Source organism: Homo sapiens, chromosome 19, assembly GCF_000001405.40.
Source record: "Homo sapiens chromosome 19, GRCh38.p14 Primary Assembly".
Taxonomy (NCBI): domain Eukaryota; kingdom Metazoa; phylum Chordata; class Mammalia; order Primates; family Hominidae; genus Homo; species Homo sapiens.
In genome coordinates this window covers 14,595,904-14,613,141 of record NC_000019.10, presented here as the reverse complement: position 1 = coordinate 14,613,141, position 17,238 = coordinate 14,595,904, and the positions used below count along the sequence as shown (strand labels likewise).

The following is a 17,238-nucleotide window of genomic DNA, read 5'->3' as shown; positions in this document are numbered from 1 at the left end:
CCAGCCTGGCCAACATGGCAAAGCCCTGTCTCTACTAAAAATACAAAAATTAGCCAGGCATGGTGGCACGTGCCTGAAATCCCAGCTATTCAGGAGGCTGAGGCAGAAGAACCAGTTAAACCTGGAAAGCAGAGGTTGCAGTGAGCCGAGATCACGCCGCTGCACTCCAGCCTGGGCAACAGAGCAAGACTCTGTCACAAAAAAAAAAAAAATAAATTGATTGGTTTGGAGAATGTCTACCCACCCTTGGATGCAATTCAGGGATTGTCCAAAGGGAATACTATGTTGAGTTATGCCTAGCTGGGAGTAGTACCAGCCCTCTAATTGGTATTTTTTGGTTGTCACATGGCCAGGGCAGGAGGGTCGGGTGGGGGTCACTCTGGCAGTTTGTGAATGTTATGGGCCAAATTGTGCCACCCCTCCCAAATGCATATGTTTAAATTCTAATTCCCAGGACCTCCTAATATGGCTGTATTTGGAGACAGGATCTTTAAAGTGGTCGTTGTAGGCCCAGCACAGTGGCTCATGCCTGTAATCCCAGCACTTTGGGGGACCAAGGTGGGCAGATTGCTTGAGCCTAGGAGTTCAAAACCAGTCTGGGCAACATGGTGAAACCCCGTTGCTACAAAAAATACAAGAATTAACCAGGCACGGTGGTGCACACCTGTAATCCCAGCTACTCAGGAGGCTGAGGCGGGAGGATGCTTAAGCCTGGGAGGTGGAAGTTGCAGTGAGCTGAGATCACACCACTGCACTCCAGCCTGAGTGACAGAGCGAGACCCTGTCTCAAAAACAAAAGAAGAGGAGGAGGAGATTAGGACCCAGACACACAGAAGGAGAACCAGGTGAAGACACAGGGAGAAGAGGATCATCTACAAGCCAAGACAGGAGGCCTCAGAAGAAATTAACCCTGCCAACACCTTGATCTTGGACATCCAGCCTCCGGAACTGTGAGAAAATGCATTCTGTTGCTGAAGCCACCCAGTCCTTTGTTATGGCAGCCCCAGCAAACTAACACACAGTAGACAAGGAACACCCAACATAGTGGCATTTTGAGAAGCACTAACATTGCAAGAGCTAATAGCCCAGGAAAGTCCACACAGAAGTAAAGTGAATTTTTATTTTTATTTATTTATTTGAGATGGAGTCTTGCTCTGTCACCCAGGCTGGAGTGCAGTGGCACAATCTCGGCTCACTGCAACCTCCGCCTCCTGGGTTCAAGCAATTCTCGTGCCTTAGTCTCCTGAGTAGCTGGGATTACAGGCACATGCCACCACGCCCAGCTAATTTTTTTGTATTTTTAGTAGAGATAGGATTTTACCATGTTGGCCAGGCTGGTCTCGAAATCCTGACCCCAGGTGATCAGCCCACCTCAGTCTCCCAGAGTGCTGGGATTACAGGCGTGAGCCACTGTGCCTGGCAAGTAAAGTGAATTATATCATCAAAGACGTTACAACCCACAGATAGCTCAAGGGCACGTGCTGGCAGATAGGTCCATCGTTGTCCTGTGTGGATATGACCAGGTTATGGCCTGCCTGGCCACACTATGTAGGGGTCTTGCTTTTCAGCTGGTATGCCTTTCTAGAAGTTCCATGGGCCAGCCAGGTGTGAGGGTGAACGCCTGTAGTCCCAGCTACTTGGGAGGCTGAGGCAGGAGGATCACTCGAGCCCAGGAGGCAGAGGGTGCAGTAAGCTATGATTGTGCCACTGCACTCCAGCCTGGGTAGTAGAATGAAACCCTATCTCAAAAAAAAAAAAAAAAAAAAAAAAGGATAGAAGTTCCACGGGCCAAGTCTTCTGGCAAAAGTCTGATTCTGCCACTTAGCTTGTGCAAACCTCACCCAAGACATTGAGAAAGTTGCTGGTCAAAAATAATTTTGATGGTTTCTGGGTTATTTGTGCTGTTTGAGACCAGGAAGGAAGCAGTGTCTGGAGAGGACGACATGGGGTGAATATAGAAGCTCTCCTGTCTTCTCCGCTGATGTTCTGTATTTTTAGGTTTGTAATTTGCAATGATGTGGGGACTACATGAGACCAGCCCACTTAATGTATTTCTGTGCGAGGCAGATCTAGAGGTCTAGCTCAAAGGGAAATTTTTCTGTCACCACTTTCAAAGCTTTTGTTTGGAAAAAAAAAAAAAAGGAAAAGATGGGGAAAGTAAAAATAAAAATAAAAATATCGGCCAGGTACGGTGACACATGCCTGTAATCCCAGCACTTTGGGAGGCCATCACGGAAGGATTGCTTGACCCCAGGAGTTTGAGACCAGCCTCGGCAACAGAGTGAGACCTCATCTCTATAAAAATAATAATAATAATTTTGAGCCAGGCACAGTGGCTCACACCTGTAATCCTCACAATTTGGGAAGCCCAAGTAGGAGGATCCATTGAGGCAAGGAGTTTGAGACTGGCCTGGGCAACATAGTGAGACTCCCTCTCTTTAAATGCTACAAAAAATTGGCCAGGCATGGTGGTGCGCATGTGTAGTCCCAGCTACTCAGGAGGCTGAGATGGGAGGATCACCTGAGCCCAGAAGTTTGAGGCTGCAGGAAAAGGAGCCCAGTCCCAGCTCTTTGTGGTTCACAGGCGCCAGGATATTTCATCCCAGGTTCAACACCAGCCCCAGGGTCCTCAGGGCTAGTATCACTTCCCAAGAGTCATGATCAGGAACTTAGTGAAGATCCTTTCAACCCCAGAAGTGGGAGACCTCCCACCACCAAGCTCTGAGCATCCTCCCAGCTCACCATCTACTAGGGCAAGCCCAAGTCCTCACTCTAGAAACAGCCTGACTTGCACCCCTGGGAACTTGCTGCATCCAGGGTGCCAATCCTGTTTGAGGCACATCTGTGTGTCCACTCACGAAGAGGCAAGGCCGTCCACGAAAGGGCAGGAGATTCTCATCTCAAAGAGACACTCAGATATGGACCCCCAGCCTCGGCCCTGGGCTTCAACAGGAACATTTCCGCTCACAAATCCAATACGTAGTTTTGTAGCAAGAGAGATCATTCCAGGTGCCACCTTTGTTCATGGTAGCACAGTCCTCATCGTGGATGTTATTGGGTTCCTCTGGCTCCCAGAAGCTGGATGGAGGAAAAAGTGGGCAGAGGGACAGGGATCTTTAGGGTGGTGAAACTCTTCTGTATAATACTGTAATGATGAATACCTGGCACTACGCATTTGGCAAAACCCATATTAGGCCGTGTGTGGAGCCTTACACCTGTAAGCCGGGCACAGTGAGCCACCGTGCCTGGCCCTTAATCAATTTCTGGTTTTGGGGGGTTTTTTGTTTTGTTTTGTTTTGTTTTGGAGACAGAGTCTCACTCTGTCGCTGAGGCTGGAGTGCAGTGGCGTGATCTCGGCTCACTGCAACCTCTGTCTCCTGGGTTCAAGCAATTCTCCTGCCTCAGCCTCCCAAGTAGCTGGGATTACAGGTGTCCACCACCACACCCGGCTAGTTTTTATATTTTTAGTAGAGACGGGGTTTCACCATGTTGGCCAGGCTGGTCTTGAACTCCTGACCTCAAGTGATCCGCCCGCCTCAGCCTCCCAAAGTGCTAGGATTACAGGCACGAGCCACCGTGCCTGGCCCCTTAATCAATTTCTGAATCTGGTCAGTTTCTGTCTTGTCTTCCAAGGACTCTTTCTTTTACAACCTCCCAACCCAACCTTCTAGGAATTGTTTAGATCATGTGGGCTCTTGCTTAAAGCAGGGCCTGATTCAGGGACTCGAGTGTGTAGGATTTATTAAAGGATGTTCTTAGGAGAGAGGTGAGGGAAGCTAGATGGAGAAGGGGAAGGAATTGAGCAGGAGCATGGACTCAGATGACTCTAGCCTCAGCCTGACCCCAACAGAGACCACTGGGATGTCAACAGCACCAGAGTCATCCCAACTTGTCACAAGGGGTCCAGGCTTCTCTTAGGCTGTCACCGGTTGTGAGCTGACCCCAGTGGAGTTGGGTAGTGTCTTAGGTGAGCAGGCTCCCATTCAGCTGAGAATAGCTTTGCGGAAAAAGCATTCCTGTGAGCCTTTAGCAGCCAATGTTCCGCCAGGTGCGGTGGCACACACCTGTAATCCCAGCACTTTGGGAGGCCAAGACGGGTAGATCACCTGAGGTCAGGATTTCGAGACCAGCCTGGCCAACATGTTGAAACCCCGTCTCTACTAAAACTACAAAAATTAACCAAGCATGGTGGCGGGCGCCTGTAATCCCAGCTACTTGGGAGACTAAGGCAGGAGAATCGCTTGAATCCAGGAGGCAGAAGTTGCAGTGAGCCAAGATTGTGCCACTGCACTACAGCTCGGGCCACAGAGTGAGACTCCGTCTCAAAAAAAAAAAAAAAAATTAGCCAGGCATGGTGGTGCGCACCTGTAATCCCAGCTACTCAATAGTCTGAGGTGGGAGAATCACTTGAGCCTGGGAGGCAGAGGTTGCATTGGGTCAAGACTGCACCACTGCACTTCAGCCTGGGCAACAGAGTGAGACTCTGTCTCAAAAAAAAAAAAAAAAAAAAAAATTCTTCCTCATCCTTCCACCCTCCCTTTTTTCTCCCAACCATTAGCCTGGAGAGCTTGATATATTTCAGCAGTTTTACGAAAAGACTGAGATGTTGCAATGGAGGAAATATTGAAGGTTCAGGGTCCAGACAGCCTGTCACCAAAAAATCACCCTGGTGCTGTCCCTGTCTGGCCAAGCCTGGGATGCTAGACACCCTATCAGCTTGGACTGCAAGGATGCCAAGCACACAGGGAAATGGGAATGACTGGGGGTGGTGTACCAAAATAATGAGCAATGCTACCTGTGCCACACACCCTGCAATCAGGGTCTCTAGGCCCCTTCTTTGCCAATGACAAATCCTTTAGTTGTTAGGTGATGTGGAAGTCCAAGGGGCAGCAGAAGGATTCTCAGGAGATTTAAGGCAATGGCAATTTACCAAACAGGACAGGAATTTTTCTGTGTTTAAAATTAGTAGAGGCCAGGTGTGGTGGCTCAAGCCTGTCATCCCAGCACTTTGGGAGGCTAAGGCGGGTGGATCGCTTGAGCTCAGAAGTTCAAAACCAGCCTGGGCAACACACTAAAACCCCATCTCTACTAAAAATACAAAAAATTAGCCAGGCATGGTGGTGTGTGACTGTGGTCCCAGGTACTCGGGAGGCTGAGGCAGGAGGATTACCAGAGCCTGGGAGGTTGAGGCTGCAGTGAGCCGAGATTGCACCACTGCACTCCAGCCTGGGTGACAGGGCGAGACTGTCTCAAAAAACTAAAATAAGGTTGGGCGCAGTGGCTCACCCCTGTAATCCCAACACTTTGGGAGGCCAAGGTGGGCAGATCACCTGAGGTCAGGAGTTCAAGACCAGCCTGGCCAACATGGTGAAACCCCATCTCTACAAAATTACAAAAATTAGCCAGGCACGACGGCGGGTGTCTGTAATCCCAGCTACTTGGGAGACTAAGGTGGAAGAATCAACCTCTACCTGGGAGACAGAGATTACAGTGAGCTGAGATCGCACCATTGCACTCCAGCCTGAGCGACAGCGAGACTCCGTCTCAAAGAATAAATAAATAAATAAATAAATAAATAAATAAATAAATAATAAAATAAAATAAAACAAGTAGAGCTGTACCAGTAAAAACCAGCTCCTGGCCGGGCGCGGTGGCTCACGCCTGTAATCCCAGCACTTTGGGAGGCCAAGGCGGGCAGATCACGAGGTCAGGAGATCAAGACCATCCTGGCTAACACGGTGAAACCCCGTCTCTACTAAAAATACAAAAAATTAGCCGGGCATGGTGATGGGCACCTGTAGTCCCAGCCACTCGGGAGGCTGAGGCAGAGAATACCTTGAACCTGGGAGGCGGAGCTTGCAGTGAGCTGAGATTGCGCCACTGCACTCCAGCCTGGGCGACAGAGCAAGACTCTGTCTCAAAAAAAAAAAAAGAAACAGCTCCTGACTCCTTCAACCATGTACTCCATCACCTTCTCCCCTCCCCATGGTCAGGGCCCACAGAGGAAGCAGAGAGACCCCAGGAAACCCAAGCACTTGCCTTAATGTCACAGGAGACCCATCCAGCCACCTCCAGTCCCCTTCCTGGGCCCTGTCATTCAGCCCCAGCCAGTACACCCGTGGAGAGCCATGGGCCTTGGCCACAAAATTCTGCAAATAAAAATTCCATTCAGCCAGCCATTCCTCTACATGACCCTCAGGGTGAGGACCTGCCCTGTGCCCTGTCCTACATATTTAGGGCTTGGGAACGTCACCTCCCACAACCCGTCCCCGTCCCCATGGTATGCAGAACAGGATCAATGTCTTCCTCCCACTGTAGCATGTGTGGTGGGAATAATCGTGCTACTTTTTCTCATGCAATCTGCGAACTGCTCCGTGCCTCAGTTTCCTCACCTGTAAAATGGGTTCACAGTAGCTACCTCCTGGTAGTGTTGTGAGGATTAACTTTTTTTTTTTTTTTTTTGAGAGGGAGTCTCGCTCTGTCACCCAGGCTGGAGTGCTGTGGTGCGATCTCAGCTCACTGCAGCTTCCACCTCCTGGGTTCAAGCGATTCTCCCGCCTCAACCTCCCGAGTAGCTGGGATTATAGCTACCCGCCACCACGCCCGGCTAATTTTTGTATTTTTTAGTAGAAACGGGCTTTCGCCATGTTGACCAGCCTGATCTCAAACTTCTGACCTCAGTTGATTCACCTGCCTCAGCCTCCCAAAGTGCTGGAATTACAGGCATGAGCTACCACATCCAGCCTAATTTTTTTTTTTTTTTTTTTGAGACAGGGTCTCACTCTGTCAACCAGACTGGAGTGCAGTGGTGTGATCATGGCTCACTGCATGTCCCAAAGGTCACTGTAAGTCTCCCAAAGATCTAGGATTACAGGCATGAGCCACTGTGCAGAGCCTCATACTGTGGACGTCTTAGTAGGTAGCATTATAACATTTAAGTGACATTTTTAGCAATAGTAACTGATTTTTTTTGGTTTCTCTTGCACTTTTGTGCTACTCGGTAGCCTTAATCTGCATCCAAACAACATAAGAATTCATTGTTCCAGGAAAAGAAGGAAGGAAGATGAAAAGTAGGTTTCCTAGCTTTGGTATTTCAAAAGCCCAGGCTTTTGACACGCTGCCTCATATCTGTAATCCCACCACTTTAGCCAAGGAGGGAGGATCGCTTGAGACTAGGAGTTCGAGATTAGTCTGGGCAACATACTGAGACCCCATATCTACAAAAATTTTTAAAAATTAGCCAGACGTGGTGGTGCGTGTCTATAGTCCCAGCTACTCAGGAGGCTGAGGTGGGAGGATCCCTTAAGCCCAGGAGTTCAAGGCTGCAGTGAGCTATGAATGCACCACTGCACTCCAGCCTGGGCAGCAGAGCAAGCCTCTGTCCCGGAAAAAAGTCAAAATCCCAGGTCTTTGGAAGAAAAGAAAGGACTTATGACAGAGATAAAAGATAGGGAAGAAAATATAGTTAGAAGCAACTCCTCTCCAAACAAATTGATGGTGAAAGAAATTAGACTGGTGGTTGCAAGTAGGGGGCAGGGAGGGATTAACTAGAAAAAGGATATGAAAAAACTTTCTAGGGTGGTGGAAAGATTATAAATATTGGTTAGTTTGACAGTTACACAGGTGTACGCATTTGTCAAAGTTCACTGAACATACATCAAAGATCTGTGCATTTTACTATATGCAAATCACATCTAACTCACCCAACTTACCACCAAACCAAGATTCCTTAAAATGTGGGGAGGTGGCCGGGCGCGGTGGCTCATGCCTGTAATCCCAGCACTTTGGGAGGCCAACACAGGTGGATCACCTGAGGTCAGGAGTTCGAGACCAGCTTGGCCAACGTGGCAAAACCCCATCTCTACTAAAAATACAAAAATTAGCCAGGCGTGGTGTCATGCCTGTATTCCCAGCTACTCGGGAGGCTGAGAGAGGAGAATTGCTTGAAACCAGGAGGTGGAGGTTGCAGTGAGCTGAGATCGCGACAGTGCACTCCAGCCTGGGCAACAAAAAGCGAAATCCCGTCTCAAAAAAAAAAATGTGGGGAGGTCAAAGTGCTGGGATTACAGGCGTGAGCCACCATGCCCAGCCCATTTTAGACTTTTTGACTGCCAGGTGATCTCAGTTAGCTAATGAGTTTAGAAAAAGTTATGATTTTGTAGTTATTCTGGCTATTGTTGCTGTTTGGGTGTGAGTAACACTCGCCCCAGCTTTCCACATCCTGGAATTCTTTGTGTTTTAAGAATTTTTTACTATAATCTATTTCATGTGTTCTACTATAGGCAATGCCAATTGATGTTTGCTTTTATTTATTTGCAGTTTTGATTTCTTCTTTAATCCAAAGTTATCTGGTGACTTTAAAAAAAAAATTTTTTTTTTGAGTCAGAGTCTTGCTTTGTCTCCCAGACTGGAATGCAGTGGTGTGATCCCAGCTCACTGCACCCTCCGCCTCGCAGGTTCAAGCGATTTTCCTGCCTCAGCCTCCTGAGTAGCTGGGATTACAGCCACGCGCCACCATGCCCAGCTCATTTTTGTATTTTTAGTAGAAACAGGGTTTCACCATGTTGGCCAGGCTGGTCTCAAACTCCTGACCTCAGGTGATCTGCCCACCTCGGCCTCGCAAAGTGCTGGGATTACAGTCGAGCCACTGCAGCCGGCCGACTTTAAACATTCTTAAGGTGATTGAAATTTTTGTAAAAGAAAATATTTCTGTCGTTATAGCATTGTGGTCAAAGAATGTGGGTAATAAAATTTCTGCTTTGATGGAAAAAAAAATGTGGGGAGGTAAAGTCACCATGGGAAGGAAATAATAAATGTGTAGACATGGCAGGCCCCAGAGAGAAGAATCTGGTATCTCATTTCCGGTGAGCTTTTCAGGTGATGGTAAAAACCCCAGATGGGTTTGGAGACTCTAAAAAGCAGAAGGGACCTGGGGACTATTTCCTGGGTAAAGCCCCAGGGAGGTGTCAGAAAATCAGAGAGCGGAAAGGTCTTCCTGTCCCATCAGACTAGATGGAGGCTTAGAAGGCCTCACAGTGTCTTAGACCCCAGAATGGGATAGGAGGAGCAGAAAGATCTCTTGTGCCCAAGAACAGCAGGAAAAGACCTCCAGGCCCAAAAGGCTTTGCTGATGGAAGAGTGGGATGCCTCAGGGGCAGCCTAGATGGCCCAAAGTCTGAGCCCCAGAAAACCAGAAGACTCTTTAACATTTAGAGAGTCCTTGCTATTTCTAGGCACCAAAATCAGAGCAGTTTAAGAAGAGGGAACTCATATGTCTTGGTCATCACTGGATCCCCAATATGTAGAATAGTCTCCAGCACATAGTAGGTGCTCAGGAAATGTTGGTTGAATTAATGAATTAAGAAGTGAGCTATGGGTTAGGGCACGGTGGCTCACTCCTGTAATCCCGGCACTTCGGGAGGTCAAGGGGAGCAGATCACTTGAGATCATTAGCTAGAGAGCAGCCTGGCCAACATGATGATACCCTAACTCTACTAAAAAAAAAAATACAAAACTTAGCTGGGAGTGGTGGCACGTGACTATAGTCCCAGTTACTTGGGAGGCTAAATCAGGAGGATTGCCTGAACCTGGGAGATGGAGGCTGCAGTGAGCCAAGATCATGCCACTGCACTCCAGCCTGGGCAACAGAGCAAGATCCCATCTCAAAAAAAAAGTGAGCTATACTACTTTGCACAGATTGTCTCATTGGATCCTTATCATGACTCACTGAAGCAAGTATTATCATTATGCCCATTTTGTAGATGAGAAAACTGAGGCACAGAGGGGTTAAGTAACCTTCCCAGGATCATTCAGTCTGTAGATGTCCCAGTAGATACCAGTTTGGAGTAAAGACAGCAAAGACCCGATGTGTGCTCCCTTCCACCTTGACCCCACAAAAGCTGTCCCCATTTAGAAGTAAAATGGGAGAACCCAATTGACTGAGAGTAAATGTACACCATTCTAGCAGAATGAGAACTCAAGAGAGAAACTAAAATGAGTAATTTAAAGGAAATGTAGTTGTATTTCTTGTGAAACTGAGTTAGGGAATATGATTTGCACCTGCCTCATTTACATTACCTAATTTAACTCCTTCAAAAGCCCTGTTTTGGCCAGCCACGGTGGCTTATGCCTGTAATCCCAGTACTTTGGGAGGCCAAGGCAGGTGGATCACCTGAGGTCAGGAGTTCGAGACCAATCTGGCCAACATGGAGAAACCCCATCTCTACCAAAAGTACAAAATTAGCCAGGCATGGTGGTGGGCGCCTGTAATCCCAGCTACTCGGGAGGTTGAGGCGGGAGAATCACTTGAACTCGGGAGGCAGAGGTTGCAGTGAGCCAAGATCATGCTGCTGCACTCCAGCCTGGGCAACACAGCAAGACTCCATCTCAAAAAAAAAAAACTGTTTAACTACTCATACAAATAATGCTATGAAACAGAGGGATAAAAAACAGAAGGGACACGACATACAGGAAAATAATAAGATGATAGACCTAAATCCAACCCAATCAGTAATTATATTAAATGTAAACGGTCTAAAAATACCAATTAGGCTGGGTACAGTGGCTCATGCCTGTAATCCCAGCACTTTGGGAGGTGAAGGCGGCAGATCACTTGAGGTCAGGAGTTCCAGACCAGCCTGGGCAACATAGCAAAACCTCATCTCTACAAAAAATGTTAAAAATTATCCAGGCATGGTGGCACACACCTGTTGTCCCAGCTACTTGGTGGGGAGCTGAGGTGGGATAATCACTTGAGCCCAGGAGGCCAAGGCTGCCATGAGCTGAGGCTGCGCCACTGCACTCCAGCCTGGGTGACAAAGTGAGACCCTGTCTCCAAAAATACATAAATAAGTAAATGAAAACACCAATTAAAAGCCAGAGATTATCAGATCAGATTTTAAAAATCCAAACCCAACTATATACTGTCTGGGAAAAAAAAAACATTTTAAATATAATGACATAAATAAATTAAAAATAAAATGAATAGAAAACATAGAGCCTAGGCAACATAGCAAGACCCTGTCTCTACAAAAGTAAAAATAATTTGCTGGGCCAGGCGCGGTGGCTCATGCCTGTAATCCCAGCACTTTGGGAGGCCGAGGCAGGCAGATCACCAGGTCAGGAGATCGAGACCATCCTGGCTAACACAGTGAAACCCCGTCTCTACTAAAAATACAAAAAATTAGCTGGGTGTGGTGGCGGGCGCCTGTAGTCCCAGCTACTCGGGAGGCTGAAGTGGGAAAATGGCGTGAACCCGGGAGTCAGAGCTTGCAGTGAGCCGAGATCGCGCCACTGCACTCCAGCCTGGGTGACAGAGCGAGACTCCATCTCAAAAAGTAATAATAATAATAATAATTTGCTGGGTACAGTGGCAAGTGCCTGGTTGTCCTAGCTACTCAGGAGGGTGAGGCGAAAGAATTGCTTGAGCCTAGGACTTTGAGGCTGCAACGAGCTATGATTATACCACTGCACTCCAGCTTGAGTGACAGAGTGAGACCTTGTCCCTGAAAAACAGAAAAAAGGAAACATAAACCATACTATAGTCCTATGTCTATGGTCAAGACCATGGACTTGAAAGCCGGCTACCTAGGCTTAAATCCCACTAGCTGTAAGTGACTCCAGGCAAGTTGCTTACATGTACTGGAACCTTGACTTCCTCACCTGTGAAGTACAGATGATACATATTGTGTACAAATAGTAATACTACCTAAATTGTAGTAGCAAATCATTAAAGCTATTTACCCATATTCCAATCCTCCTTCTGGTTGCACGGAGGTGAGACTTATTTCCCTACCACCTTAAAAGATAGGCGTGTACATGTGACTTTTGTGAGCAAAAGTAAATGGAAACTCTGACAGTCAATGTATGATTTCCCTCGTCTACTTTCACCATTGGACTATGGAGACTGTCTGTTACCGCAGCATAAAGTAACCCCTCCTAGCCCAGCGTGGTGGCTCACACCTATAATCCCCGCACTTTGGGAGGCAGAGGTGGGAGGATCACCTGAAGTCAGGAGTTCGAGAACAGCCTGGCCAACATGGAGAAACCTCATCTCTACTAATAATACAAAAGTTAGCCAGGCGTGGTGGCACATGCCTGCAATCCCAGCTACTCGGGAGACTGAGGCACTAGAATTGCTTGAACCCGGGAGGCAGAGGTTGCAGTGAGCCAAGATTGCACCACTGCACTCCAGCCTGGGTGACAGAGTGAGACTCCATCTCAAAAAAAAAAAAAAAAAAAAAAAAAAAAAGAAGGCCGAGCGTGGTGGCTCACGCCTGTAATCCCAGCACTTTGGGAGGCCGAGGCGGGCAGATCACGAGGTCAGGAGATCAAGACCATCCATCCTGGCTAACACAGTGAAACCCTGTCTCTACTAAAAATACAAAAACAAAATTAGCCGGGCGTGGTGGTGGGCACCTGTAGTCCCAGCTACTCAGGAGGCTGAGGCAGGAGAATGGCGTGAACCCGGGAGGCGGAGCTTACAGTGAGCCAAGATCCAGCCACTGCACTCCAGCCTGGGTGAAAGAGCGAGACTCCATCTCAAAAAAAAAAAAGAAAAGAAAAGAAATAAACTCTTCCGACTGGCATACTAATGTATAGGTTGTCGTGAGGATTGCATGTGTTAATGACTGTAAGATGTAAAGTATTTGGAATGCAACCTGAAACATAAAAAGTGCTACCTAACAGATATTAATTATTGTATTTTCATGTTAGAGATAAAACCGATACTTGAAATGTACAGAGGTTAAATCAACACAACCAGAATTTGAACTCAAAAACAAAGCATGTCTTCTTAACCTCTGCATGATACTACCTTAGGAAGAGCTTGCTGTTAAAGTTTTAGTAACTGAAAAGTAATTCTAATTTCTTGCCATCCAGGGAAGGGAGGGATGTGTGCATCCTGGAAGAGAAGCAGGCTGTCCCTGAAGGTTCTCAAAGGTTCAGTGGGAAGAACTCACGTGCTCAGCAAAGCTATTGATGATGACCAAGTGAGAGTAATTCTCCTGGCAGAACATCCGGGCCTCATCCCATGACTTGGTGCTTGGGGAGAAGTAGTAACACTTGCCCTCAAAGGGCAGCCAGCCTTCAGGACAGGTAATTCGGCGGCAGTCTGGGAACCAGACAGAATGCTGTCAGGATGGCCCCAGAACCTGAGCCATGTACATAGTATGCCATGTACAGTTGTGCAGGCTGTACACTGCTCAACTCCGGTGAGGGGGAGGGGCACCATTCACATAGACTGCACTGAGAATGACTTCAATGGAGTGATGTAATGTGCCAGCTCTGCCATGCCCCCCATCCCTGGGCAATTCCCCAAGTCTCACTTACCTAATAAGCCCCAAAGTTCCACCAGGGACTGGTTGGTGTCAGCTCTTACACGGGCAATGTCATGCTTCAGGCCAGCTAGCCCTGCCATGCCAGTCACTGTCAGAAGGGATGGGCTTGAGGGCTACAGACTGAGAACCCATCCTACCCATCCACCACGGACTGCAGACACATCAGAGAGAGAAGCAAGGGTTGTGTTCCCCACTGTGTCCACATTCCAGTGGGTCACGCTTGCGCTCAAAAACCACATGTACAGTGCTCAGAATCCGAGAATGGCTCAGAGGAGGGATCAATCCCGGGGATGTGGGGAAAAGTAGGGGTGGTGGGCACCCTGAAAGAAGTGGGTTTTAAAGGAAGAAAGTGATTCGATAACTGTGAGGTGAGGAAGAGGCACATTAGGCAGGGACTATCTTAAAAGCAAAGATGCAGGCTGCCCATGGTGGCTCACACCTGTAATCCCAGCACTTTGGGAGGCCGAGGTGGGCGGATCATCTGAGGTCAAGAGTTCAAGACCAGCCTGGCCAACATGGTAAAACCCTGTCTCTACTAAAAATACAAAAATTAGTTGGGCGTGGTGGTACATGCCTGTAATCCCAGCTACTCAGGAGGCTGAGGCAGGAGAATCACTTGAACCCGGAAGGCAGAGGTTGCAGTGAGCCAAGATCACACCACTGTGCTCCAGCCTGGGCAAGAGAGTGAGACTTCATCTCAAAAAAAAAAAAAAAAAAAAAAAAAAGCAAAGATACAGAGGCAAGTATGTTGTGGTGAGGCGGCAAAGCCTATAAGAGTGGAGGGAAAACTCAGAAAAGCTTGAGATCAAAGCAGAATGAGCTCAGATGCCTGGATCCTTTATTTTATTTTTTTTAGACACAGTCCTGCTCTGTCCCACAGGCTGGAGTGCAATCGTGGTTCACTGCAGCTTCAACCTCCTGGGCTCAAGTGATCCTCCCACCTCAGCCTCCTGAGTAGCTGGGACTACAGGTACATGACATCATGACTGGCTATTTTTTTAAAATTTGTTGTAGAAACAAGGTCTTGCTAGGCCGGGCGCAGTGGCTCATGCCCATAATCCCAGAACTTTGGGAGGCTGACGCAGATGGGTCACCTGAGGTCAGGAGTTCGAGACCAGCCTGGCCAACAGGGTGAAACCCCATCTCTACTAAAAATACAAAAAATTAGCCGGGAGTGGTGGCAGATGCCTGTAATCTGAGCTATTCAGGAGGCTGAGGCAGGACAATCACTTGAACCTGGGAGGGGGAGGTTGCAGTGAGCTGAGATCGCGCCACTGTACTCCGGCCTGGGCAACAAGAGCAAAATTCTGTCAAAAGAAAGAAAGCAAGAGAGAAAGAAAGTAAGAAGGAAGGAAAGAAGGAAGGAAGGAGAAAGAGGGAGAGAAGAAAGGAAGGAAGGAAGGAAGGAGAAGGGAAGGGAAGGAAGGAAGGAAGAAAGGAAGGAAAAAGAAAAAGAAAGAAAGAAAGAAAGAGATAGTGAGAGAGAGAGAGAGAGAGAGAAAGAAAGAACAAACAAACGAAAGAAAGTCTTGCTGTGCCCAGGCTGGTCTTGAACTCCTGGCCTCAAGGGATCCTCCCACCTTGGCCACCCAAAGTGCTAGGATTACAGACATGAGCCACTGTGCCCAGCCTAATATGTGGATCCTTGAATGCCAAGCTAAAGGTTTCACCTTGGACTCTGGACAATGAGAAGCCATTGATGGGTTTTGAGCTTGCTTGTTATGAAGCATAGGGTGAGGCAGTGTGGAATGGAGAAATATTCAGACTTTGGCAGTCATGATGAAGGCCAACCCAGGTCAAAAGATTCTTCTATAATTAACGTGTGTATTATCACTACTCCCCCACGAACTCTTCCCTTTTTCAACACTCGCTAGCTCAGTAGCTGGCCCTTCAGTTGGACAAAACAGAAACACAGGTTTTAGGCCAGGCACGAAACACTTCAGGAGGCTGCGGCAGGAGGAATACCTGAGGCCAGGAGTTTGAAACGAGCTTAGTCAACATAGTGAGACCTCTTCTATACAAAAAAAAAATTTTTTAACCAGCCGGGTGTGATGGCATGCGCCTATGTCCCAGCTACTCAAGAGGCTGAGGCAGGAGGATCTCTTGAGTGTGATCATGGCTCATGATCAACCTCAAACTCCCTGATTCAGGAGATCCTCCCACTTCGGCCTCTTGAGTAGTTGGGATGACAAGCACACACCACACACCACCACACCCGGCTAATTTTTTTTAGAGATGGAGCCTTGCTGTGTTGCCCAGTCGGGTCTCGAACTTCTGGCCTCAAGCAATCCTGCCTCAGCCTCCAAAAGTGCTGGGATTACAGGCATGTGCCACTGCACCTGGACCAGTGTGTATTTCATACTTAGTGCTCATCTCAGTTTGGACTGGCCACATTTCAAGTGTTCAACAGCCACATATGGCTTGTGGCCACCATATTGGATGGTGGAGGTCTGGACACATATACACATGCACACTTCACACAGTCAGACAAAGACTGTGTCTGACATGTTTACCATTTTAACCCCCTGGTACCTAGCACAGTGCCCAGCAAAGATGGGGATGAGGTTGGATCTTGGAGTTGGATCTGAGGATTGGGTTAGGGCTCAATAGGAGTGGCATGAAGGAATGACTGAAAGCACTCACTATTTGTTCGCCACGTCATCTGCTGAAAGCTTAACATTCTCAGTTCTTCCATCAACTCCTGGTCTATGAAGAAGAGTCCAAATTGAGCCCAGGTCCTCCTGTGCACCCTCCCCAATCTCTCCCCATGTCCCTTCCTGGCCCTACTCACACTTAATCAGGGTCACAGTGAGACCAAGGCAGCCCAGGAACAGGGAAGTCACCACCAGCAGACACAGGTACACCATCCACCTCTTCTGGCAGCAGCCAGGACCTCCAGACCTCTGATTGAGCCAGGGGACTGGAGTTGCTGGGGAGTGGGGATGGGAACAGAGAGACTGATACTGGGGCTTCAGAGAGTAAGGAAGAGACTCTTAAGTCTTTGTCCAAGAGCAGGGGGCAGAAGTCTGTAGTCATGACTGTTTCAGCAGATGAAGTCAGCAAGAGAGGGTTAGGGAGAGTGAACCCTGGGGAGGCTCAGGGTCTTTTTGATGCATTTACGGTGCGCTAAGCATCATGTTGCATCCTTCTCTTTTTCCTTCTTTCCTTCTTGAAACAAGGTTTCACTCTGTCATCCAGGCTGGAGGGCAGTGGCACAGTTATAGCTCACTGCAACCTCTAATGCCTGGGCTCAAGCAATCCTCCCACCTCACCCTTTCAAGTAGCTGGGTCTATAGATGTGTGCCACTAGGCCCAGCTAATTTATTTTATTTTTTTGCAGAGATGGGGGTCTCGCCATGTTGTCCAGGATGGTCTTGAACTCCTGGCATCAAGAGATCCTCCCTGCTTCAGCCTCCCAAAGTGCTGGGATTACAGGCGTAAGCCACTGTACCCAACCTACATCCTTCCTATCTTATTGGAGTCTCATCCTTATGATGTAGGTTATAAGCATTATTCCCATTTTGCAAGTGAGTAAACTGAGGCTTGGTGAGGTTAGGCATGACTTGGACACAGCTTTGTTCTTAATATCTATGATGCATCATCTTCTACTCTCCAGAAACCCCTGACCAAGTTGCTCCTAGGTCAAGGAAGCTTGTGGACCCCGGCTTCTAGAGCAGAGAACATTTCCCATATCTTATGCAAGCAGATACCTGAGTTTCTGGAGATCTGGCCTAGACTCAGAGAGGAGAAGCTTCTTTTTCTTTTTAAACATGGTCATCACCAACACCATCACTACCTCCACCATCACCACCATCATCTCTACCAACAACATTGTCATTGTCAACAATACCATCACTGCCTCTACTATCATCACCAACACCATCACCACCAACACCATCAC

The 17,238-nt window shown here is 47.9% G+C and overlaps 2 protein-coding genes across 14 annotated transcripts in view, besides 1 other annotated feature; one reads left to right on the top strand and one right to left on the bottom strand.

Moving 5' to 3' along the window:
• Positions 1-13,025, top strand: part of ADGRE3 (adhesion G protein-coupled receptor E3) — a 74,728-nt gene extending 61,703 nt beyond the window's left edge. The window contains exon 17 of the transcript XR_001753772.2: positions 12,880-13,025. The gene's annotated coding sequence lies outside the window, so the exon portion shown is untranslated. The remainder of the gene's footprint in view (positions 1-12,879) is intronic.
• Positions 1,107-17,238, bottom strand: part of CLEC17A (C-type lectin domain containing 17A) — a 31,085-nt gene continuing 14,953 nt past the window's right edge. For 4 of the 13 annotated variants that reach the window (XM_017026788.3, XM_017026787.3, XM_017026786.3 and 1 more), the window contains 6 exons: positions 16,129-16,266; positions 15,981-16,043; positions 13,330-13,425; positions 12,960-13,111; positions 6,040-6,149; positions 1,348-3,078 (listed from right to left, as the gene is read on the bottom strand). In XM_017026788.3, the coding sequence (XP_016882277.1) occupies positions 2,946-3,078; positions 6,040-6,149; positions 12,960-13,111; positions 13,330-13,425; positions 15,981-16,043; positions 16,129-16,266 (692 nt within the window). In that variant the 3' untranslated portion in view covers positions 1,348-2,945. Of the gene's footprint in view, positions 3,079-6,039; positions 6,150-12,959; positions 13,112-13,329; positions 13,489-15,980; positions 16,044-16,128; positions 16,267-17,238 lie in introns of those variants that run through there. The other 9 variants (NR_109784.2, NM_001204118.2, XM_017026785.3 and 6 more) reach the window with 9 other exon arrangements.
• Positions 9,008-9,257: an enhancer, noted in NCBI's record as "active region_14178". NCBI's record gives its function as "activates an Ori minimal core promoter by ATAC-STARR-seq in GM12878 lymphoblastoid cells {active_cell/tissue: GM12878}" and the evidence as "EXISTENCE:reporter gene assay evidence [ECO:0000049][PMID:35858748]".